We start from the raw sequence: 25,919 nt of genomic DNA on the forward strand, positions 1-25,919 counted from the left end.
AGTGGGCAATGAATAAATAGCTACTTAACACAAGGGAAACAAATCACTCAGATTCAGAATTCAAGAGAATACAAGTGGATAAACCTTATTCAAAAGTAACAATTGTATCTAACAAATCTACAGATAGGGAATGTTAATAGCCCTACATAAAATCAAGTTATAAACTTGTCCAGATAATTATGAGCCAGTGCATTCTCAGTGAACTTGTCGGGGACCCAGAGAGTACTATCTGCTTTCAGGTCATTACTGGCAACTTGCTCATCAAATCCCTATCTCAAAAGAAATCCCAGCTGGCCCATCATTCTGCTGATCTTTGCCTACCAACAATTTCTAACCATGGCTTCTCATCCAATCTGTTTAACAATGATTGTCCCAAGTACAACCTACCATGTATTTAATTGCTTTCCTGTCCTCACACCTCCCTAGGTACCCACGACCTACCCCTACGCCATCTTTCTCCTTAAATATGTGTATTTATTGGTAACTCTGCCACATTCATATCCTTGTCCAGGACAAGTCCCACCAGCTACTACATGCAGTCTCCTCCAAAATGGTACAGAGCACTTGGGTAAAGATAAAAGGAAATCATCGCCAGGTGATACTGACATAAATTACAAAGGTTGCATAGAAGAAGAAAGAGATTATGATAGAAACCTTGTATTCTAACACTTGCTGGAAGTCTAATTTTGTACAGTAGAAATAGCTGAGACTATGAGTTTATCCCAAATACAAACACGACTGATTGAATTAATAATGTCCTCTAAGAAGACAGAGGACACATGCCGGGCGTGGTGGCTCACGCCTGTGATCCCAGCACTTTGGGAGGCCAAGGTGGGCGGATCACCTGAGGTTGGCAGTTCAAGACCAGCCTGACCAACATGGAGGAACCCTGTCTCTACTAGTAACACAAAAATTAGCAGGGTGTGGTGGCGCATGCCCGTAATCCCAGCTACTCAGGAGGCTGAGGCAGGAGAATTGCTTGAACCCGGGAGGCGGAGGTAGGTTACAGTGAGCCAAGATGGCGCCACTGCAGTCCAGCCTGGACAACAAGAGCGAAACTCCGTCTCAATTTAAAAAAAAAAAAAGAAGACAACGACAGAGGACACAATTAGCAGCTGATACCTGTATTGTGCTTAACAACTCCTAGTACCTATTTTGCACAAGAAGAAATGGAGGCTTGGAAAGGTTAGGTAACTTGCCAAAAGTCACACAGCAAGAAAGTGGCAGAGCCTAGAATTCAATCTAGGACTGTCTGATTCTAAAGATTATACTCTTACCATATTACAGAGAAGGGAACTATTATCCTGAACGCAGTTCCAAACAGTAAAGCAGGATGAAGAAGGGACTGAAATTTTGAGAAAAGAAGAGAAATTTCAGGAAGCAAACGATTTCATCTTAGAACTGCAAATAGTAATAAAACAGAACAAAAGTAATAGATGCATGTATCCTAAACGTCAGGAAAACAGACTTCATCTTTTTCTTTTCCTTAAGGTTAGGTACCACTTAAAAAACAATAGATTTTGAAAAACTCTGAGTATCAGCCTATTATTAAGAGACTGTGTAACTAAGGATATACAAGAGAAGAGACAGAACTCACGAGAACAGCATGAGAAAGATAAAAGTCCAGGATAAGTAACTTTAAGACCAAAACAAAATAAAAACTAAGGCCCTAAAAAGAACTTTTAAAGTCATATTCAGAAAAAAAATAATGAATGAATGAACCTGCATTGCTTAGGAAAGACCAGAAAATATTAACTGATGATATTAAAACAGAGGTACTTCTATTTACTACCATCTTCCACAAATATGATCCTCAAAACAGAACAACAGAATAAACATTGTTGAAAGGGACTTTAAGGTTTATGTGGATAGTACGATAGCAAAAGAATGGCTTCAAATGAGCCCAAGTTTCTAGTTACTAAGGAGGATTACGTTCCAGGGATAAAAATCTCACAGCTACTGTAGGTTACTTTTAAAAGCCAAAGAGAACAAAGGTAATAGAAGACACTAATGTTATTTACATTTTCAAAATGGGAAAAGGGATAGATTATGGAAATAAGTATACCAAAATTTTATTAAGTAAAGACTATGGTTGAACTAACCTCATTTCCTGTTTGGATATGGTTATTCAACTGGTACTTTGGGCAAATACTAGAGTCATGCACCATCACTTGATAAAAGGATTCAAGTTTTTCATCATTTTCTTGTGAGTATGTTGACAAACTAAGGACTAGCCAATCGTATAGGTAAGAGGCTCTGAAGTTGGCTGAATACCCAAACAGTGTGATTGAAATAACTGCCAACAATCTTATTCATTTTAGAAGATTAACCTAGGGACCATGACCCATTAAGCACTTTATAAATGGTTTAGAATCATATTTTTCAAACTTCAAAACCTTTGACACTTTAATAGACTTATCAAATGTGCTGACAGCCAACTTACTAGATCCCCAGTATAAAACTCAAAATATGATTAAGAGCTAAAATGAACAAAATGGAATCTGCACTTTAAAGGTTTGCTCTCCAAAGTGCAAGTATGGAATGGGGCTTAAAGCTGGCGGCAAGAGATACAAAAAAGACCTGTATATTCAAATTGCCCATGAATTCATGAATCGGTAACTTTCTATTGGTTAGAAAGCTAATGTAATCTTAAACTGTACTGATGAGACAGAAGTATGTCTCAATCAAAGAATGTAGTAAAATTGTGTTCTATGATCGATCCCTCTGGAAAACCACATGATGCTTACAACATGATGACCCTGTTCCTCTTTGTTGCAGTCATTTACACAATTACAAGTGTTAATTCCCCTTCATTTTATGAAGATGTCAGTACCCAGTTCACTCTCTCTCACCAATACCATTACTGTTGTAATAAAACAGTACTGGTGGTTTCAAAGTCTGTAGCAGATAATCCCACTAAAATAACCTGGCCTCTCAGCTCCTTGACCAAATTTTCTGCGATCTTATTCTTTCTTCATTTTTATTTTAAAAACAGAGATGGGGTCTCGCTGTTGCCCAGGCTGGTCTCAAACTCCTGGCCTCAAGCAATCCTCCCACCTCAGCCTCCCAAAGTGCTGGAATTACAGGTGTGACCCACCATGTCTGGCCTTATCCTTTCTTTACTACCTCGGAAGTCAACTCCATGACAACACCTTTACCTTTTCATTACTAACTGCATTGCTTCCATAATCTCAATTTCAAGTAGAGATACTAATCAACTTACGATGGGGTTACTTCCTGATAAATGTTCTGTAAGTTGAAAATACCCTAAGCTGAAAATGCATCAAACACATCTAACCTACCAAACACCATGGCTTAGCCTAGCCTACTTTAAATGTGCTCAGAACACGTACACTGATCTACAGTTCAGCAAAACCATCTAACACAAAGCCTATTTTATAATAAAGTGTTAAATATTTCATATGATTTATTGAATACTATACTGAAAGTGAAAAACAGAATGGTTGTACAGGTACTAGAAATATTTCTATTGAATATTTCTATTGAATGTGTATTGCTTTTGCACCATCGTAAAGTCGAACAATTTTAAGTTGTTCTAAGTCAGGGACTGTCTGTATTCACCTTCTATTACTCCGTCCAGTACCCTGATTCCAACAAATCTTTGACCCCACTGAGATCTACAACCCACTAATGTTACCACCTTTTTTCACTGCCCTTCAGCCTCCCTCATATCCTTCTTCCTGTAACTTAACCACCTTAGATCCCATGGTCCACCATTATAATCACTCCTTTGACTATATCCTCAATTCTCTTGTCCCCCACTTCCCTCTTTTGTACTCACCTAGCAAAACTCCAAATGGGCAAAAATTCAACTCTTTCAGCAGCTAACCTTGAGTGGGCCCTTAATACTGCCTGGCAATACTCTCACACTGCCTGAATCCATCCATTTCATGCCTTTTCCTAGAACCTCTTCCCCCTTCCTCATCTCCATGATGACTTTGCTCCCTGTATTAGACAATATGAAATTGATATAATGAGTACATACACATTTTCCCTCCCTCACCTCATCTATAAACCTTCTATAACTCCACTTTATCTCCTGTTACTAGGATGAGCATCTGTGCTCCTATGCTATCCTAATCCACCTATTTTTATACTGAATCCCAATTCTTTTAATGTGGTGAATGCCACAACACAGATTTTGCCTCAATCTAAGAAGCACTTTGTAACAACTACAGCTGTCAAAAAATGAAATAAATCATATCACAAAGTAACAGCCATTCCTTTGATTAAACAGATTTCTACAGTAACTGGAAGTAACTCCAGATAAACAATGAGCACTCTCTCAGCTTTAAAATTCAATGGTTTTAGAATATATAAAGTTATAAATATTCTTGTATAAGTTATAGTATTAACTGGAATGTACATACTTTTCTCACCCTTGGCAACCCTTGTTAAATTCCTCAAGGGATAGGTAAGTCTTTGGGGAAGGAATAACAATGGAATGGAAGAATGATAGACTGCCATTTTCCACTACTTTTTAGAAATGTGTCTAGCCCTTTTGTTTTCATTCTCATACTGTTCTCTTTCTAGAACTGCCACCTTGGAAACTCTCCTGGGAATATCTAACAGAAATGCATCTCTTAAGAATAAGTGTGTAACATAGTTCTCATAATAACCTTAATTAGGTACTGTATATAATTAGATCATGGAATTTGAGCAATAGAATATTTACTAATTGTGTTTGACCTTTTTATTATTTAAACAACTTTCTTCTGCAATTAACTTAGAAGAAAGGGGCATTAAAATGAAAAAAGGAAGCTGAGTAAGTAGAAAAGATCACAAACTTATTTACTTATTGCTGAGACAACTCAGCAGGTTGAATATATTTACCTTTAACAATCTTCTTTGCACAGTCATTATACACTTGCTCTTGAGATGTGCTTGACTGGAACACCCGATCAAATGCATAAGGCTTGGACTGAAAAACAAAAAAGTGTTTCAACTATACAAATTAAAGGTAAATGAACATTTCTAACCTTTACAGATGCCATCATATAATATATTTAATCCTCAAAATAGTATACCTAGTATGCATAATTTGGTATCATTGAATCTTTGAAGTAGAAGGGATCACCATGCACAAATCCATTAGAATAAACTCCAGGAAAACAAGAATGGTCTTTAGTCTTTGCTGCATTCCCAGGGCCCAGTAATTACAATTATAATTCCCAGTAATTATAATTAGCACTACTATGGCAGCCAAATATTGCTGAGTGATTTTTATTTTTTTAAATACCTATTTATTTATTTTTGAGACAGGGTCTCGGTTCTGTCACCCAGGCTGGAGTGCAGTGGCACAATCACTGCTTACTGCAGCCTCAACCTCCTGGGCTCAAGAAATCCTCCCACCTTAGCCTCCTGAGCAGCTGGGACTAGAGGCATGTGCCACCATGCTATGTTGCCCAGGCTTGTCTTGAACTTCTGGGCTCAAGAGATCCTCCTGCCTCAGCCTCCCCAAGTGCTCGGATTACAGGTGTGAACCACCATGCCTGTCCTGCAACAGCTTTTCAACCATTCTTTCATTTAACAAATACTTATGGAATGTGAGATGACATGCTAGAATGATAACCAAGAGATTCCCTCTCTGCTTTAGTGGAGCATAAATAATAGTGGGGCAGACATTAAAAAATTAAGTGACCAGAATTCTGACTCATGCAATTGAGTGCTATGAAAGTGCAATGAGAGAATATAGGAGGAGAACCTAAGTCTACGGGAAAGCAGAATATCACGGAAACACCCTTGGAGAAAGAATATTTAAGAACTGAAAAATACGCAGCAACTAACTCATCATCACTCTCCCCAGTATTAGTCATGAAGGGTGAAAAAGGTTTCGTGTAGGAAAGTAGTCTAGGCACTGGGAGGATACTTAAAGATCCTAAGGCAGAAAGAACAGTGTAGCATTCAAGAAACCAATGGAAGTTGTTAAGTTGAAGTACAAGGAGCAAGGATCAAATGCAAATATCAAAACGGTTAAAAAGACATCATCTTATTCTGAAAACAGCTTTGATCTTCTGGACCCCAGAAATGATACTGGGGACTCCATGGACCACTCTCAGAGAACCACTAATATAGTCTGAGAAGGAGCCAGGGGTATTGAACAAAAAAAAAAAATCAGTGGTGTCCATGCAAGTCAAAAAATAATAATTTTCAAGGAGGGAGTGATTATGTCAAATACAGTTGTGAGGCCAAGACAAAACTAAAAAGTACTCAATGACAAAGGTCAGATTGGAATGGATTGAAAAAGAATGGGAGGTAACCAAGTGGTGCAGAAAATCTGCTGTATGTCTAAGAAAGTTATTTTTTTTTTAAGACTTGTAAGACCTGAGGTAGTTTAAATGCTTGCAGGAACAATTTTAATAATCTAGGAGAAAGAGTAGGTATCCAAAAATAAGAGGCAAGGGGTTCTAGGTATTTGCAAGTATCTGCCTGCTCTCTAGTTTCTCCTAAAGGAAAGGAAGGAAGTTGGGCCCTAAAACACAAAACAATCATGACCCCAGAAAAAGCCCTTAACATTAGAAAACACTTCCTAAGTCTTAGCTGAAAAAGACCTACTACCCTCCACATCCCCACTTCAAAGTCTGAAATAAAAGTAACAATGAACCAGACACTCCTAAAGCCATTCCCAATTCCCCTTTCCCTTGCTACCTCCCAATAAATAGGCCGGAAAGCCAAATACCTGTTAGCCTAGTCTCCCTGCAACTAGTAGTCACATGACCAAGCTCTGAATAATATGAAGTGGCGGTCTGTTCGAGGTCTCTGAGAAGGGTGTTGTTATCCTGATAAAAAGGACCATCTCAGCTAAAACTGCCCTTTCTCCTTCCTGGAATGAATGCCTGGAGCTGTAGCATCCATCTTGCAAATACGACAAACAGGATGATGAAAAGCAACAGCTAAGGACGACAAAGTATAACAGAGTGAGGAACCGTGAAGGGCCTATATCCAGGCTTTTTGTTATGTGAGAAAAACATCCTCTTATTTATTTAAGCCACTATTAGCTGTTGGTTTTTCCTCTAAAGCTGAAAGCATTACTGACAGATACAAGAAGCTGATCTCACTTTGGCATCAATTTAAAATAGGCATCGATGTCTGATTATTCTTTAGTTGTGACATATGTGAACGTATCCTTTTCTCAGATGCTACTGAAACAATTAACATTCAATTCTACAGGTGTGACTAAAAGAAATCTATTATTTTACTGCTGACACAAGATATATTCATGGTGAACAATTCTGAAAACAAACGTTAAGTACAATCAAAATAACAATCGCCACCCAAAAACAAACCATACTAATAGTTTTTTCTATGCAAAAAGAAAGTAATTTTCCCTCATTTATCCAGCAGACATTCATTTAGTGACTATAAAGATATGAGATATTGTAGATGAGTAACACAATTTTAGAAATAATTAGTACAGACTGTAGGGTTCAAAGAGTAATAGAGGATAAGGCCAGATAAAAACCTGAATACTAAGTTAAGTTATACACTTGGATCTAATATAAGTGATCAAGTAATGTCAAGAGAATTTTATATGTATCTACAAATATACTCCTGAGTAGCTGGGACCACAGGCATGTGCCACCACGCCTGGCTAATTTTTGTATTTTTAGTAGAGATGAGGTTTTGCCATGTTGGCCAGGCTGGTCTCAAACTCCTGACCTCCAGTGATCCACCTGCCTCAGCCTCCCAAAGTGCTGGGATTACAGGCGTGATCCACCATGCCTGGCCTCAATTTTTACATCAATAGAAAATAGTGCCCCTAAACCATTTACCAAGAGATATGCCAGAAATAATGTAAACAGCTTCATAATAGTAAACAGTTTTAATAGTAAAGCCTGCCTTCAGAAGTACTTTATGAAGCTGCTTACTCTAGTTATCAACTCCAAGCAAATATATAAACTACCACTACAACCTTACTAAAATAATATAAATGGCAACTATTAAAAGGTAACACACAAACATAAAAATAATTGAGACTGGAGTGATTATCTTTCTAGAAGTTATTGTTAAATAAAAATTAAGTGCTTAGCATTAAGTTGACAAAACAGTCTTATCTTGATTGCAAAACCAAATGATGATTTTGTAATACTAAGTAAGGCAAATGTTTTAATTAAAGATCTAGCCATAAATTACTGACTCTGGCTTCCTGGAATGAAAATCAAGACTCTGTGAAACACAAAAATTATTTCTAATGGTCTATAATTAAGGCATATCTCTATTTTTCAAATAAATTAAAGAAAAACTCATCTGGACATCTGTATTTTTCAAACCTGGTTTTTAGCCTCGAAATGTACATTATGCAGCTTTTAATCCCATGTGTCTTCAAAGATCCCCCAAGTTTCAGATTTCAATATTACTAGTAACTCCAAGTCACAAGATGCATTCACGTCTGATTGATGCTTTAAGGGGACAAATCAAAAAGGAATAAGTTGATCTCAACTGCATACCTTAGGTTCCTTAAGGGAAGTGATTCCTGTTTGAGTATGCACCGACCAGACTGAAGACCAAATTTGGTTATGAAGGACACCCTTCTGGCAGGGATATGTCTTTCTCTGGAATTCTGAATAGCGGATCATTTCAGATCACTTGGGAGTGTATTATATTAGATTTTCCTTAGTTAAACACTATAGTGGGCTAACATTCCACAACTGTAAAGGTATGTGATGATGGTTCCCTCCTCTCCTTCATTTTTCCCTCTTAAGGTAATCAAGAAGGTTCAAACACCAAATCATTCACTTGAAAAGCGAGAATGTTGTTTTGCTTAGGCAAGGAACTGGGCAAGATTATCTAATTAGTTTTATTCTCTTCTAATTTCTCGGAACTACCACAGCTTGTTTTTGGCAGCCTTTACGGTGTACCATATAAGGAATAATGATTTGTAAAGATACTTAATGATGCAAATAACCATATTCTACTTTCATGATTCATAAATAGATAGATGTAATTTTTTTATTGATTTTTCTTCCTGGTGTTTTTAGCAAGCTCCTAATTTTTTCTACTGATTTTTTTCTGGTGTTTCCAGCAAGCTCATTTCAAAGACATAAACTGTTTCCCTGTCCTCCTTGCTTTGCGGTAACAAGTTCTCTAATTTAAAGCAAATAGTTTATATGTATATCGCTTAAAGACTTTCATAAAATAATTCATTTCATTCGATGTTACATTTATAGCACTTCACCAAGCACTTAATTAAAAATAAATTCTGTATTAAAGGCTGTACAGCATACACAGAAACACTATGAAAGATTTGCCTGCCATGGTGTCATATTAAAATCACTGATTACATGAGTAGCAGGAAAAAAGTTTAGACAAAGTATTAAAAACTCAAGTTATAAGAAAATCAGAATCCTTAAAAATTACTTTCTCCATGAGCACTGATTATGCTTCTAACATCATAAACTACAATATTCTTTCAATTTTGATCTAAATAGAAGATTGTATACAAAATGTTCTTAAATCATGTTTTTAAAAATTTAGTTTTAAATGCTGCATTGCAGCAATTCTCTCCTAAACTGTTCATTATGAATCAGGATTAGGAACCAGTAAAATGAAAAAACCAAACCGAGAAGATTTTACCCACAGATTTTCCAATTCCGCTCCTCCTGGCTGCTCTTATAACCTTTTACAAAATGAAATAATTCATTTAAAAAACTGAACAAAAATATGAGACCTCAATAATTAATGTCGTTACTATATGCAAGAAACTAGTTTCTGAAAACAATGAACCAAAACATGTTGCCTTTCATTTTTTAAGGCTATGTTATTCAGTTGTAATGTATTTTTGGTTACACGTTAAAAAAAAAAAAAAAAAACCAGGCCAGGCGTGGTGGCTCATGCCTGTGATCCCAGCACTTTGGGAGGCCAAGACAGGTGGATCACCTTAGGTCAGGAGTTCGAGACCGCCCTAGCCAACATGGTGAAACCCATCTCTACTAAAAATACAAAAATTAGCTGGGCGTGGTAGCGCGTGCCTGTAATCCCAGCTACTGGGGCGGCTGAGGCAGGAGAATCGTTTGAACCCGGGAGGCGGAGGTTGCAGTGTGCCAAGATCACCCCACTGCACTCCAGCCTGGGCAACAAGAGCAAAACTCAAAAATATCTCAAAAAAAAAAAAAAATCTCAAAAAAACAACCAACCAACCAAAAAACAACTAAAATGCTTATCAGCTTACCTAAAGGTTAACTGTTCATTACGGATTCACAAACCAACAATGTATCCATTATTCCTAATATTACCATTTATATAGAGTACTGAAATTTTGAAACGGAACTTATAAGCAACTTTTTCCCAATGGAAACCTAGAATAAATGTATGTTTCCTTTGTTCATTTTCCTTTAGTTCTTTCTTCATAGTTCATGTCGTATTTGTGCCTCATCAAAGTTTACCTTCTAATCTTAGTACATTTTATGAATCCTAAATTTTAGCATTCCAACAAAAAGAATCATAGTGATAACTACAGATCTGTGTAAACACAAAATCTGAAGAAATAAGACATTCTTAAAACAAGTGTAAACGGAAAAATAGGTTTGATGTGCCAACCACTGCAGAAGCTGAGTACTGTAAACCACAAAAACTCTTAAGAAACTAATAGCCTCAAGTTTGACAACTAATCCAGGCCTTGCAAGCCTCCTGACTATATGTAAAATATACCATCCCAAAGGAAAAGGATTACTGGGCTTAACTACTCCGCCTCTGCCGGGCTATGATGTCATTTACACACGAGTTTTTCTAGTGGACTTGTTAACAAAGAACTCGCCTGACAGTCTTTACACAGTAATAGTTGGCAATTGTTAGTGGCCTAATGACTTGTTTGCCAAAGGCCTACCAAGGAGCTAAGACAATTCATTTTTTGGAGCTGAACTTTGGAGAAACTTTCACATCAAAACCCTAAAGAACTTTAGTCTGTCTTCAGTGTCAATGCTTTCAATCATCCATGTCCCATCTCCTGTGACCTCTGCCCTATTTCCAAATTAAATAGCCCCAATACAGTATTAACTATAGAATGACATTAGAGGAAAAATTAACATATTAAAATTTCATACCATGGTAACAATGTAGAAAGTTAGTTCTACTACATAGCATTACCAACAAAGAGCAACATAATTTAGTCACTGTTTCGTATGCCATACTTTACAATTAATTTTTAATCTCCTTCAACTAGGAGTGCTATTTTCTCACACCTTTCAATGCCAGAGATCAGACCTTTAAAAACCCTCACATTCTGGTCTCACTGATAATGATCACTCAACTCTAGTTATGTTTTTCATTACAAAAAAACAGTATCTCACTATTCTTGGGATTACCAAACAACAATTTTCTTCAAGATAGACCTTAACTGCAGAAGTATGAATCTAATACTGGTCAATTTTTATCTTTTTTATAAGTTTGTTTTTATAACACTTTCTGTCTGATACAAAAACAAAAAGTTAATACTTTTTCCTAGGCTGTTATCCCATAAAACCTAGCAAGAATGCGATTTGTCTTTCGGAGCACTTATCTGACCCAACCAAAGTCGGCTAGGTCTGCTAGATTAAACAAAACTGATCATCCTGTTTCAAAAAAAAAAAAGCTCAACTATTTCTTTCTACAATCATCGATTTGCCATTTGTAGTTGTTAACATGAAAAGTCTTTCATCACTCAAAAAGTGGTGGGTGAAAGTTGGAGGTATAGATAATATTTGTACCTCTTTTTGGTGCTTTTTCCTTCTCCCAGAGGGAAACAATACGGTTCAAGGACTGGTTATGTTTCCATAAAACTAAGCATCTTTACTAAAGTACACTACGGCTTATCTCAGAGCTCAATGTCACCAGCCGATCTTTATATTAGCATTACATATTTTCTGAATGGCAAATTTGGGGTTAATCCAAAACACCAACAGTATCCGTAATTGCACACACACACACACACACACACGCAGACAAACGTGCACTGAACTTGCTGCCCGGACGTTCCTCCATTGCCCCAGGTGGGGGAGTGTCCAGGGCTGAGGCTGGGCGCTTCCCGTCTCCCGGCGCCGAAGACTGGGGTGGGGGCGATCCAGGAACGCACGCGAGGCTGCGCAGTCTCCCTCCACTGGGTTATCTGAACCGGCAAACCCCGCCGGGGAGGGCTGGGGACACCGCCGCTCCCTTTCAATTCTGCACCCTGCCACTTCCCTAAACTCCCCGCACAGGCCGGCCCGAAGAAGCGGGAGGAGGGATGCCGGCGGGGGTCACTCACCGCGATCACGACCGTGTCTTCTCCCTGAAACTTGGCGATGTACTTGTCGCCGCGGTTCACTTCAGACTCGTTGAGAGGTCTGAAGCGACACATCACTTTGATGTTGCACTCGGCCAGGTCCGCCATCTTTCTCGCAGCCGGGGCCGGCGGCCGGGAGCCACTCCCCGCCGCTCAGTCTTGCAGGGAACGCGCCGGACCTGAGGGCTTGTGGTCGCGAGGGCCGTGAGAGGCAGCAGTCAGCTGCGCCGCGCTGCGCTTCCCCGGGTGGAGGCGGCCGGGGAGCCGGGACTTGAAGAGCCGGCGCCGGCAGCCGTTAACCCTAATGCTCACTTCCGATCCATCATGGCAGCCATGGCGGCGGCAGCGGCGGCGGCACCGGGGAGAGCGTCCGCGGCTCCTCAGCGTCCCCCTTTACGGTCTGGGCGGACTGCGGGGGCTGGGGAGGTTCTGGGGACCGGGAGAGTGGCCACCTTCTTCCTCCTCGCGAAGAGCAGGCCGGGCCTACCCGTCCGCCCGCTCTGCCGTCCGCTGGCCGGCCGACTGCTGCCCGATCACTCCTGAGGCCGCCGTTGGGCGACAGGGCGGTGCGGGAGGAGGACTGCGCAGGCGCAGTGGGCCAGGCGGCCCGGCGACCAATCGGTGCGCGCGCTCGCACCCTGCCGCGGCGGCCGGGCTGCTGTTTCCACCACCACTCCTGGCCCGGGGTCGCAGATTCAAATTTTACTGCACTGCCCCTGTCGCAGAAGTTCCTGGGGAGGCAGGGCGGCAGCTCCCACCCGCCATCCCAAGCCGCCGAAGAATTCCCCAGAGCTAAGGCAGACGCACTTAGCTTTCTTTTCTTTGAGGGAGAAGGGGTTTGCTTTAACTACTTAATGTCGTTTGTTTAAATAAATCACTAGGCTGGTCCCGTTGCGGTGGTGTTTGCAGCTAATTGGTCACAGCCAGAGATTTGTTTCTTCTCCACTCGCACTGTGTCACTTGACTAGCTTTAAAATTAAAAACAGAAAGTACTATATTCCTAAAAGGAAGTGTTGCTTTCATTTTTGTCTGGGGGTGGAGGGAATCATTCCTGGCCCATCTTTTTAGAGCGCGTTGCCAGAAAAAAGTAAGATTTCAATGAAGGGTAGCTCTTTCCTGAGAGAGTGGGATGTGGGGAAACAGGAATAAGAAAGAAAAAGGAAAATTTTCCTAAGGAATGAAGAAAGTTGCTGAAGAAATGTGGAACAGTAGGGTGAGGAGGGGGAAGAGCCCTCAGCCCCCATCACACAGCATCTCTGTCACTCCAGCGGCCCAGTACCTTGCATCCAGCCCGCACCCTCGCCGCCCCCACGAAGTTCAGCGAATTCCCGCCACTTTCCCTGCAATGAACATACGGAACCCATCAATCCCAGTGCTGGAGGAATGACTGACCTGGAGCCTAAAGATGGTCTTTATAAAAGGCCTAGGTAAATTTGTTCATTTCATATCCAAGGAAGACCACTCCATAGTTGACTTTGCCTTCTAGTTTTAGAAGATGAGTACCATAAAATTCCACGGGGAAGTGGCTCTGAGGAAGTGGCTCTGAGGTGCTGCAGAAGAACTGCAGTAACAACTCCTCCCCCTCGTCCCCAATTTTTGTTTGTAAAATGAAGGACTGAACTATGAAAACCTCCAGGGCTACCTGTGCTCACCCAATCATCCTAATACCTACAGAAACAAATTCAGAGTTCAACAGATTCAGGTTTATTAATCCACTGCCTTGAAGAAGAGCTCACGCTCAAGGAACCTTGGAACATCTCACCAAACAAAGGAATGGATGAAATTAACCCAGGGCTTTCTGGGAGGTGTGGAGTTCTGATGACATTTAAATGAAGCAGTGTTTTTGAGAGGCCCCAGGCAAAGCAGAGCTGCAAATAAAGGCATTAACATCAGGTCTGGACCACCATGGACCCCAGGTTCTGTTTCCGTGAATACTACAGTTAAGATAGATGGGAAGTGTTGTCTTCAGAAACCCCTTTTTCCTTCACCTGGCTTGGAAGTCAAGACTGCTTCTCTGTGTCTTAGGTCCTCCAAGCAAGAGTGGAATGTTTTATTCTTACTGATACAATTTCAAACAACAGTTTGTAATAGTCTATGATTTTTGTGGAATCAGTTTTCTCAGTAAGAAATCAGTAGGCCAGGCATGATGGCTCGTGCTTATAATCCCAGAACTTTGGAAGGGGGATTGCTTGAGGCCAGGAGTTCGAAACCAGCCTGGGCAACATAGAGAGACCTTGTCTCTACAAAATAATAAAAAAATACAATTAGCCGGGCGTGGTGGTGTGTGCCTGCAGTCCTAGCTACTACAGAGGCTGAGGCAGGAGGATCGCTTGAGCCTAGGAGCCAAGATTACACTGAGCTATGGTCGTGCCACTACACTCCAGTCTGGGTAACAGAGCCATACCCTGTCTCAAAAAAAAAAAAAAAAAAAAAAAGAAAGAAATTAGGTCACTCAAAGAAGGAGTTTGTGTGACACTTTATAAATGTAGTATGTCCTTGAGAGAAATACTTTTCTGCTTACCTTTCAGCTGGCTTTATCTCTGTCTGTTAGTCCAGTCTGATCAATGAAGGTAGAGTCTTACTTTCTCACTCTTTCAGTCCTATTATTCTTTGCCTGGTTCCTTCATCATATTTATATCCTGTCATCCTTATCTTTAATTGCAGAAAAAGTCAGCACTCTCCCTCTCAAAAACTAATTTCTCAGTTGCATTCAAAATTCTTTCCAACTTCGTCCAATACCAATGGCCACCATCTTCTTCCATCTTTGATTTCTCCCTTTTCTTGGCTTCCCTGAAGAAAAAAGGGAAACAAATACGCTCAGCCAGCCCATCTTTAAAACAGCAATGAAACCTAACACCTTCATTGGTTCCTGTTGACTAGTAGCCTTCTGTCAAAGATAAAACAAGCCAGACGCTAAAGTGGTATTGACAACTTTTAATGCATAACACACTATTGCAATGGGGAAAATAAGCCAGAGTCAACTGAACTCAACTTTGACTTGTACAGAGGTAACTGGACGTTTTAAAGGGAGCACAAAGAAATACAAAGGGGGATGAGCTGGAGCTCAGTAGAGCCCGGGAAGTGAAAAATTGCAAAAAGCAATAAGTGGGGGTTGGTCCACGTGGAACCCATCTGGGTTTTCTAACTGGTCCTTATAGAGGTTAGGCTCCTGCCCTCCCGCAGAACCTAGGAGACAGGGACCCTATCTTCAGGTATTGGCTGGAACAAACAGTATCTTTTCTGTAGTCTTGAATTTTCTCAGGAAACCACTTTAAAGGAGGTTAGGGTCATCCCAGAAATCTGATCTTGAGCTGTTAAACTATGTTCATGTTTTGTTCAAGTCTTTATAGGCCATGGTTGAGGCCTATTCAAGAAAGGCTCAGAGGAGCCTGGCTAGAGTTTGGTCAAGGGGAGAATCTTTGCCACTTCTTGCTGCCATTTATTGGGTGAAATTGACTAGAAGGGACTGTGGTTGCTCAGAGGCAGTTCCATCCGAAGACAGCAGTGGCTACGCAGCTTCTACCACGGGAGAATTGTGGGCCCAACACTACCAAGTTTTCCTTTTTCCAGAAAGACATAATCCAGATGTCCTTAAAACTCTCAATTTTTAAGTTAAATTGGCCATCAATTTAAAAATAATTTAAATAATGCATGAACTAAGTAAAACATCCCTGTGGGCTGGATGTGGCAGGTGGGCCTCCAGTTTGCAACCTTTGAGCAGGACGTTGTGAGGACTCTGTCCCCAGCCCTGGCTCTCTTATCTCTGGGCTCACTTCTTCAACAATTGCTGGAGTCTCTTATCTAAAACCCTGACGTTTTCATCTGTGTTGACATTGTCATCTCTCCAGCTGCTTACAGGCCACCTTGTGTAGAATGCTGTACCATAACCTTAAATTTAGCATTCCAGAAATGAAGCGAATTATCCCCCACTCCCTGCCAATACTTAATTCATGACTGGTATCAGCATTCTTCTATACTTCCAGGCTAAGAAAGTTCCAATCACCTGTAATTCTACTCTTACCTTTATCCCCTATACATGCAAAAGAGAAACATGGTAGTCTGTATTTGAAGCTCCTGAACTTCAACTCTTACCATTCCCCCTATGTTCCTCAACTCAGAAGACCTGAGGATTGATTGATCTAGAGCAGTGAGTTTGAAATTCTACTCCATAGAAACAGAGGTTCCAAAGAGGTGACTGAGGAGACGTCATGCGTATGGGCAGGGAAAGGAGGTAGAAGGAAGGGAGTGAAGCTCTGGAAACCTCTGCTACCAAAGGTACTGGTCAGCTTCTGTTGCCTTTCAACCCCTGCCTGTCCCCTCTTCCTGCACAACAGATTCTGGAAACTCAGTCTTCATAAAAATAAAAGCCAGAGGCTGGGCACAGTGGCTCACGCCTGTAATCCCAGCACTTTGGGAGGCCAAAGCAGGTGGATTGTCTGACCTCAGGAGTTCGAGACCAGCCTGGGCAACACAGTGAAACCCCATCTCTACTAAAATACAAAAAAATTAGCTGGGCTTGGCAGCGTGTGCCTGAAGTCCCAGCTACTCAGGAGGTCGAGGCGGGAGAATTGCTTGAACCCAGGAGGCAGAGGTTGCAGTGAGCCAAGATTGCACCACTGCAGTCTGGCCTAGGCAACAGAGTGAGACTTCGTCTCATAAACCAATAAATAAATAAATAAAAGCCAGAAAGGGAAGTGTCTGCAAGAGCCTTCTGCTTTCAGACCTGACATACATACTTTTCCTGGGAAAGAGAGCACAAAAAGCCTGAATGTTATCACAGAACCAGGAAGGAGAAAAATGCTATGGAAAAACAAAATTGTTCTTAAAATTGTCCTGTCACACTACTAAGAAATAATGGTATCAGGCAATAAGGGTTTAAGAAATATTTTCATGGGGAAACAAAAGATTGATTTTTTTAAAACCTAGTTAATCCTAGTAATGCTTCCGAACATAGAACAGACTGCCATTATTCAGCATTAGCAGTGAAACAGCAGGTTTCCTTGAGAGCACATTTCGAGACTTATTGGCATAACTTTTTCTTATGGAAATGCAAGTGGTGTTTTCACCTATACAGATTAAGAACATTAAACCTCCGCTGTGGGCTGGACTCCGTGGTTCACGCCTGTAATCCCAGCACTTTGGGAGGCCAAGGCAGGCGGATCACTTGAGGTCAGGAGTTCAAGACCAGCCTGGCCAACATGGCAAAACCCCATCTCTACTAAAAATACAAAAATTAGCCGGGCATGGTGGTGGGTGCCTGTAATCCCAGCTACTCGGGAAGCTGAGTCAGGAGAATCGCTTGAACCCAGGAGGCAGAGGTTGCAGTGAGCTGAGATTCTGCCATTGCACTCCAGCCTGGCCAAGAAGAGTGAAATTCCGTCTCAAAAAAAAAAAAAAAAAAAACTCCACTATGGAAGTTAGTCTCTGATGAACTGTGCCTCCCTGGGTTCACAGATTTGTGCAGCCTCTCTCCTTAAATCTTGCATGGTTGGCCCTATGACTCACTTGCAACCAATATATGTGGCAGAAGTATGACACCACATGCTATCTGAGACTAGGTGAGAAGAAGGCTTGCAGCTTCCACCTTAGTTTCTTGGAATACTCTAGGAGCTCTGAACTGCCATCTAGGATGACCAACCACCCTGAGACTACCATGCTGGGGAGGCCATATGTGGGCACTAAGCAATGGTCTCAGCTGATCCCAGCCTTCCATCCAGAGACCTGACTTGTGAGTGAAGCCATCTTGGACTATCCATGCCAGCACACCCACCAGTTGAATACCAGTGAGTAATTTCAATTAACACGCTTGGAGTAGAAGAATCACCCAGCTAAGGCCTGTCCTAATTCCTGACTCATAAAATCATGAGATATAATAAAATGGTTATTGTTTTCAGCTGCTCCATTTTGAATCATTTGTTACATAGCAGTAGATCCCTCGAATGATAACCTAAAATTTGGAACTTAAAATGTTTCTCCTGGAAATAATCCTCTAAAAGTGTAATAAATGTATTAGATTGGGCTATATTCTAAATTAATTATAAATTAAATGGTTGGAGGGAATCTAAGAACATCACCACTGTTTAAAAATAAATGTACTTATTTATTATAAGTACATTTATAAAAGTATGTTTATTTTTAACATTATTACTGTAAGAAAATTTGTTTACTATTTCCAGTTGAAATGACCAGAAATGGGCTTTTGGAATAGAAAATTATAGCATTTCTTTTTCAAATCTGAATAAGACACACCTGCTCTTTTCTAGCTCCAGGACCCCATCCTGGTCCAAGGCTTCACTACTTCAGGCCGAGGTTACTACGGGAGGTCTCAGCCTCTTTCCCATTCGAACATTCAGTAACTATAGGTTGAGTTCCCACTATGGTCCAGGTGCTGAGATAGACTATAGGAATACGATAGTGAAAAAGACTAAACAATTCCTCCCATATCCACTGTTTTGCATGAAATTTTCAGATTAAGTCTCCAAAAGCATTACCTTTATTAAATCATTTCATTACTCAAGAACCTACAACAACGCCCCTTTTTCCTACTCAAACTAATTCAAATTCCTCTGCTTGGATTCCAAGGCCTTCTTCTAGCACTGACTCCCCATTACATAACTAGGGTTTTCCACTGCTCCACGACTTACATTCTTAACTCCTGGAAACTGGTCTTTTTCACTGTCCTTCATTATAATTTGCTAATTTCAAAGCCAATCTGATCTCACTGTGTATGTCCCTCTCCTTTGTGCTTGTCCAAATCCCATCCGTCTTTCCTCAGGTCCCACCTTCTGCAAGTGGTTTGTACCACACAGAATTATTTCAGAGGTCAGAGAGAAAACTCCTACATGGTATTTAATACCATAATTTATTTATTTATTTATTTATTTTTAATTTTTTTTTTTGAGATGGAGTCTTGTTCTGTCGTCCAGGCCGGAGTGCTGTGGCGCTATCTTGGCTCACTGCAACCTCCACTCCTAAGTTCAGGTGATTCTCCTGTCTCAGCCTCCTGAGTAGCTGGGACTGCAGGCGCCTGCCACCACACCCGGCTAATTTTTGTATTTTTAGCAGAGACGAGATTTCACCATGTTGGTCAGGCTGGTCTCAAACTCCTGACCTCAGGTGATCCACCCACCTCAGCCTCCCAAAATGCTGGGATTACAGGTGTGAGCCACTGCGCCTGGCCTTATTTTTAATTTTTTGAGACGAGGTCTCTTTGTGTTGCCCAGACTGGTCTCAAATTCCTGGGCTCAAGCGATCCTCCTGTCTTAGCCTCCCAAGTAGATAGGATTACAGGCACACACTATCACATCCAGCTTCATTTAACTCTTTAGAACCTATATATTTTTTCTATTTTATCAAAGAAACACACTCATAGTTTAAAAAGTGAAAACTACACTACAACCCTGAAAAATAGAAGTTCTGGTTCTGTTCAATCCAACCTCCATTTCTGTTCTCCAGGGCAACTACTTTAAATCTTTTAGCAATTTCTTCTAGTATTTATCTCCATGTTTCTAAATAACATGATTTTATTGCTGCTTCTTGACTTATGAATTATTATTATTAAATGAGGTTATAGCTCCTTTACACTAGCCTCCATCTGAATCAACGTATTTTCTTCTCTTTATCTTCTCAATATATATTTCTATCACTATTTTTAGTTAAATTAATATACAGCATTTACATGCTACATAATATTATTCCCAGCTTAGCCATGTAGTGCACTATAATTACATTGCCTACCTTGTACAACTTTTTGTGTTTTTCTGGATTTAAAAATTGCCTAACTTTTTCTACCAGTTTACTCTTAACACATTCCAAATAGCCACCAGCAGTATAAAGCTACTCTTGATATTTTGAAGGTATTGCTCCTTTTGTTAAGTCTGATTCTGAGTCCTAATCATTTGTATGTGATCTGAATTTTTCTTCCAGGCAGCTTTTAGTCTCTTTTTGTCTATATTCCTCTTTTCTTTCCTATTTTCCTTTTCTTTGTTTTCTTGTTCTCCTTTTGGAGATATTCTCTTAACTTTATTTTCAACTGTTTTCTATTGGCGATGTGTGTGTGTGTGTGTGTGTGTGTGTGTGTGTGTGTAATTAGGAGGATAATATCTCTTGGATGGACTGGGCATGATGGCTCACAACTGTAATCCCACAACTTTGACAGGCCAAGGCAGGAGGATCACTTCAGCTCAGGAGTTCAAGACCAGCCTGGGCAACATAGCAAGATCCCATCTCTACAAAAAATACAAAAAAACTAGCTGGGCGTGGTGGTATGCACCTGTAGTCCTACCTACTTGGAGGGCTGAGATGGGAGAATCGCCTGAGCCTGGGGAGGTTAAGACTACAGTGAGCTGTGATTGCACGACTGCACTCCAGCCTGGGCAACAGAGAAAGATCCTGTCTGAAACAAACAAAAAAATGTCTTCGATGTGCTGATCCCACCCTATGGGGGGTGTGTGTGTGTGTGTGTGTGTGTGTGTGTAAAACTCTCTGGATTTTAATTCTCCAAATGGATGTTTTACATGAAATGTTTCTATTCACAGACCAATATCTTCTCTTATTATTCAGATAATATATATATCTTTTTTGAGACGGAGTTTTGCTCTTATTACCCAGGCTGGAGTGCAATGGTGCGATCTCAGTTCACCGCAACCGCTGCCTCCCGTGTTCAAGCGATTCTCTTGCCTCAGCCTCCCAAGTAGCTAGGATTACAGTCATGTGCCACCACGCTCAGCTAATTTTGTATTTTTAGTAGAGATGGGGTTTCTCCATGTTGGTGAGGCTGGTCTCAAACTGCCGACCTCAGGCGATCCACCCACCTCAGCCTACCAAAGTGCTGGGATTCCAGGCATCAGCCACCACCCCTGGCATGTTTTATTTTTTATTTAGCTTTTGTTTCCCAAATTTTCTCTGGAATCTGTCACTCATGTCAGAGGATTTCCTCACATGAGTGGTGGGCGTTGATATTCTAACAACTTGAGTGAGAAACTAAAACATGTTGGAAAACCTTGTGCATGTTGGTAGGGTTTAGAGATCGATGGGTTTCATCAAGGTGTGATTGGGCAGGAACTAGCCATTTCATTAGGAAAATTCTAAATGTCTTTTTTATTTTATTTTTATTTTTATTTTGAGACAAAGTCTCACTCCATCACCCAGGCTGGAGTGCAGTGGAATGATCTTGGCTTACTGTAACCTCTGCCTCACAGGTTCAAGTGATTCTCCTGCCTCAGCCTCCCAAGTAGCTGGGATTACAGGTGCGCACCACCAGGCCTGGCTAATTTTTGTTATGTTTAGTAGAGATGGGGTTTCGCCATGTTGGCCAGGCTGGTCTTGAACTCCTGACCTCAGGTGACCCACCAGCCTCAGCTTCTCAAAGTGCTGGGATTATGGGTGTGGGCCACCGTGCCCAGCCACTGTTAATTGTTTTCTTTGCTGTACAGAACTTTTTTAGTTTGACATAATCCCATTTATCTAAAAATAGTTTTGCTTTTGTTGCCTATGCTTTTGGGGCCATATCCAAAAAAAACATTGCCCCTACCAATGTCAGGGAGCTTCCCCCTGTTTTCTTCTAGTAGTTTCATAGTTTTGGGTCTTACATTTAAATCTTTAATCCATTTTTAGTTGGTTTATGAATATAGTATGAGATAAGGGTCTAATTTCATTCTTTGGCATGTGGATACTCAGTTATCCCAATACCTTTTATTGAAGAGACTATCTTTTCCCCATTGTGTGTTCTTGGCACTATTGTCGAAAATCAGTTGGCTATAAATGTGTGGATTTATTTCTGAGCTATTTATTCTGTTCCACCAGTCTATGTGTCTGCTTTTATGCCAGGACCATGCTGTTTTGGTTACTATAACTTTGTAGTATATTTTGAAGTCAGGTAGTGTGTGTGATGCCTCCAGCTTGGTTCTCTTTGCTCAAGATTACTTTAAATTCTTTTGTGGTTCCATATGAATTTCTGGATTTTTAAAAATTTCTATTAATATGAAGAATGTCATTGGTATTTTGATAGGGATTGCATTGAATCTATAGACCTTTTTCGGTGGTGTAGACCCAATGTGGTTTTATAACATTTCTTTTGAATTGGTTGGTTTCCCTAGAAAGGAGTTCTCTAATATTTTGCCAGGTTTACATAAGTCTGGCTGCCAGTTTTCTCAGAAGTGATGGGGTTACGCAATCTTAACATTCAGTTTGTAGGTTTTATTTCCCTGTTTTCAGTAGGCGACTCACCCCATCTTTGTGTGTGTGATGTCCCTGAGTCCACAGCCTCCCTGGTTCAACTTCTCGAGAGAGTGAGCTTCCTTCTTTCTGTTGTGCTGGGGGAGAGGACAATCTTCTGGCATTTTTGGTGGGGGGGAAATTGCATTCCAACAGATCTTTATATACATTTTTAACTAAACCCTCCTATTTTCAGCTCTACCCTGCACCTCAGCCTCCTGGTGTCTACATTTCCCGAGGCTGTCTGGTGTTCTATATAGAGAATTAACTTACTTATTGACATTCTGCCTGCAAGCTTAGGTTTTTAGCTTTCTCCAGGCTATTTAGGTAGTTACACATTTCCAACATTTTGTTGAAATCCTGTTTGCTGATAGTCTTCTTTCAAGTTTTCTTTATATCGTGGCTTTAGGCTTTGGCATTTTGTTTTTTTGGGGTTTTTTGGGTTTTTTTTGTTTTTTTGAGACAGAGTCTCATGGTGTCACCCAGGCTGGAGTGCAGTGGAGCGATCTCGGCTCACCACAACCTCTGCCTCCCAGGCTGAAGCAATTCTCCTGTTTCAGCCTCCCAAGTACGTCGGATTACAGGTATATGCCACCACGCCTGGCTAATTTTTGTATTTCTAGTAGAGAAGGGTTTCGTTGTGTTGGCCAGACTAGTCTCGAACTCCTGGCATCAAATAATCTGCCCCCCTTGGCCTTCCAAATTGCTGGGATTACAGGCTAGGCTTCAGCCACCGCGCTCGGCCTGGTATTTCTTTACTAACATTTTAGTGGAGCTTCAGGGGGTTTGAAGAGAAATGTGAATATTCAACCTCCCATATTTAATTTGCCACAGTTTGTATCTGGGTCTCCAGTTTAATTATGTTGTCACTCCGAGGATATAAGTTACTTGAGGGCAGTGACTATGGCTCGTTTCCTTCAACAATGCTTAGCTCAGTGCTCAGGATCTCACAAATGCTAATAAGTCCTCTGTACTGATTGAAATTGGAATTCAACGAGTGCCTATTAATTAACATGCTCTGCTCAAAAGTTGGTGGGATAAAATTATGAACAGGTTCCCATTGAAAAAGACCAGGATTCTAGTGGGGGAGTTAGGATAGTAGAAACCATAGGGATAGGTTCTATAAAAGCAGGGCCATGAGAGCACAAATAATGGATATTTTGGAAAACTTTCCTGACAATTTAAAGTTGATATCAGGGATCACTGCCAAGATGTTTAACAAAACTTGCCTCTCTATGCAGAACGTTAGGTTAAACGTACCATTGGTTGACCAGGTGTAGCAGCTTCCCTCATATATTTTTGTATTTTTTATTTTTTTTAGAGATAGGGTCTTGCTCTGTTGCCCAGACTGAAGTGCAGTGGCTCAATCACAGCTCACTAGAGCCTCAGGCTCCTAGGTTCAAGTGATCCTCCTGCCTCGGCCTCCCTAGTAGCTGGAACTACAGGCATGTGCCACCATACTTAGCTAATTTTAAAATATTTTGTAGAGACAGGGTCTCACTATGTCATCCAGGCTGGTCTCCAACTCCTGGGCTCAGGTGATCCTCTCTCTTTGGCCTCCCAAAGTGTGGGGATTACAGGTATGAGCCACCGCTCCCAGCATCCTCATGTCTTCAATGACCAAGGTTTCATTCTTGCTCAGCAAGTCACCTGATAATTAGTAATTATAAGGAGAATGGACATAATTGAGAAATAAACTGGAGAGTCTCTCCTATTTATTCATATTTTTACTGTGATTTGACAAGCTAATTTATTCTATTTTTAGAAAACAAGACGTATACATTTTACATTTTTTTCAGACTGTTTTTTCAGACTCCTTTTTCTTTCTTTCTTTCTTTCTTTCTTTTTTTTTTTTTTTTGAGGCAAAATCTTGCTCTGTCACCCAGGCTGGAGTGCAGTGGCACGACCTCGGCTCACTGCAACTTCCACCTCCTGAGTTCAAGCGATTCTCCTGCCTCAGCCTCCTGAGTAGCTCAAACACTTGACCTCAGATGATCCACCCAACTCGGCCTCCCAAAGTGCTGGGATTATAGGCATGAGCCACAGTGCCCGGCCTACAGAAATTAACATTTGTAAAGCCAAGTCCACACACCTAGAATTAAGCAGACAGATTTATAAGAAAACTGGCAGGAATGTTACCACAACCAGTGCATTCACTTAAACCCAATTAATAGAGTAGTAATCTACAATTACATAAAAATTGTTATTATTATTATTATTATTATTATTATTATTATTATTATTTTGAGATGGAGTGTCACTGTTGCCCAGGCTGGAGTGCAGCGGCATGATCTCAGCTCACTGCAACCTCCATCTCGTGGGTTCAAGTGATTCTTGTGCCTCAGCCTCCCCAGCAGCTGAGATTACAGGAGCACGCCACCATGCCTGGCTAATTTTTGTATTTTTAATAGAGATGGGGTTTCACCATGTTGACCAAGCTGGTCTCAAACCTGACCTCCTCAGGCCTCCCAAAGTGCTGGGATTACAGGCGTGAGCCACTGCGCCGGCCAAAAATGGTTATCTTTAATTGTATCAAAGAATTTTGCCGTGTGTCTTAGGTTGAGTTTGATGTGGAGAAGTGTCTCAGGCAGAAATTTGCTTGCAGAAGGTTAACTGGGGAGAGCTGTCAACAGCAGGATTAAGCAGGGACGTTGGACTGTGATGCAGTTGGCACGGAGGCCTCAGCCGATCTCATGGAGGAATCCCTGGAGCAGGGATGGCAGTGCTAACTGGGACAAGGGGCTAGGCCTCGCAGGCTGGCTGTCCCTGGGGAATGGACATAATTTTAGATGAAGCAGCTCCCTTCTGTAGAAGGGAATTCCCAAGGAGACTGAAAGCCGCCACTGCCTCGGTCATAAATTGGGAATTTGGGCGCTTGGGCGGCACAGCACAGCATCTACAACACCAGTGTTGCAGGACACTTAGGAAGCCTTTATATTGTCTATTTCTGCGAAGACTTGATTTTGTTTTTTGTTTTTTGTTTTTTGAGAAGGAGTCTTGTTCTTGTCACCCAGGCTGGAGTGCAGTGGTGCGATCTCGGCTCACAGCAACCTCCGCCTCCCGGGTTCGAGCAATTCTGCCTCAGCCTCCTGAGTAGCTGGGATTACAGGCACCCACCACCACATCCGGCTAATTTTTGTATTTTTAGTAGAGACGGGGTTTCGTCATGTTGGCCAGGCTGGTCTCGAACTCGTGATCTCATGATCCACCCACCTCAGCCTCCTAAAGTGCTGGAATTACAGGCGTGAGCCATCGCACCCGGCTGACTTGATTTTTAATACAGTAAGAACTGTCAGTTTGTGCCCTTCCATCAACTGCTTTTTTCTTTATCAAAAATGAAACAAAACCAAAACCAAGTGGCTGAATAGTTAAATTGAAAGGCAGACAACTTGAAATTCATTTTCAGCAAACAATTTCCCAGAGTTCAGATACTTCCACCTTCTCTAAG

General features: G+C 41.1%; 1 protein-coding gene across 3 annotated transcripts in view, besides 3 other annotated features; it reads right to left on the reverse strand.

Moving 5' to 3' along the window:
- The window catches only part of KIF5B (kinesin family member 5B), a 47,411-nt gene extending 34,595 nt beyond the window's left edge, over positions 1–12,816 (reverse strand). For 2 of the 3 annotated variants that reach the window (NM_004521.3, XM_047425202.1), the window contains exons 1-2: positions 12,239–12,816; positions 4,855–4,942 (exon numbers count right to left, since the gene is read on the reverse strand). In NM_004521.3, the coding sequence (NP_004512.1) occupies positions 4,855–4,942; positions 12,239–12,364 (214 nt within the window). In that variant the 5' untranslated portion in view covers positions 12,365–12,816. Of the gene's footprint in view, positions 1–4,854; positions 4,943–6,700; positions 6,915–12,238 lie in introns of all 3 variants that reach the window. The other variant, XM_047425203.1, reaches the window with a different exon arrangement.
- Positions 4,513–5,712: an enhancer, noted in NCBI's record as "BRD4-independent group 4 enhancer chr10:32337050-32338249 (GRCh37/hg19 assembly coordinates)". NCBI's record gives its function as "activates an origin of replication core promoter dependent on BRD2, P300/CBP, MED14 and CDK7 cofactors, and independent of BRD4, by STARR-seq in HCT116 cells {active_cell/tissue: HCT116}" and the evidence as "EXISTENCE:reporter gene assay evidence [ECO:0000049][PMID:35650434]".
- Positions 12,190–12,399: an enhancer, noted in NCBI's record as "active region_3244". NCBI's record gives its function as "activates an Ori minimal core promoter by ATAC-STARR-seq in GM12878 lymphoblastoid cells {active_cell/tissue: GM12878}" and the evidence as "EXISTENCE:reporter gene assay evidence [ECO:0000049][PMID:35858748]".
- Positions 12,730–12,919: a silencer, noted in NCBI's record as "silent region_2281". NCBI's record gives its function as "represses an Ori minimal core promoter by ATAC-STARR-seq in GM12878 lymphoblastoid cells {active_cell/tissue: GM12878}" and the evidence as "EXISTENCE:reporter gene assay evidence [ECO:0000049][PMID:35858748]".

This window comes from Homo sapiens, chromosome 10 (genome assembly GCF_000001405.40).
Source record: "Homo sapiens chromosome 10, GRCh38.p14 Primary Assembly".
Taxonomy (NCBI): domain Eukaryota; kingdom Metazoa; phylum Chordata; class Mammalia; order Primates; family Hominidae; genus Homo; species Homo sapiens.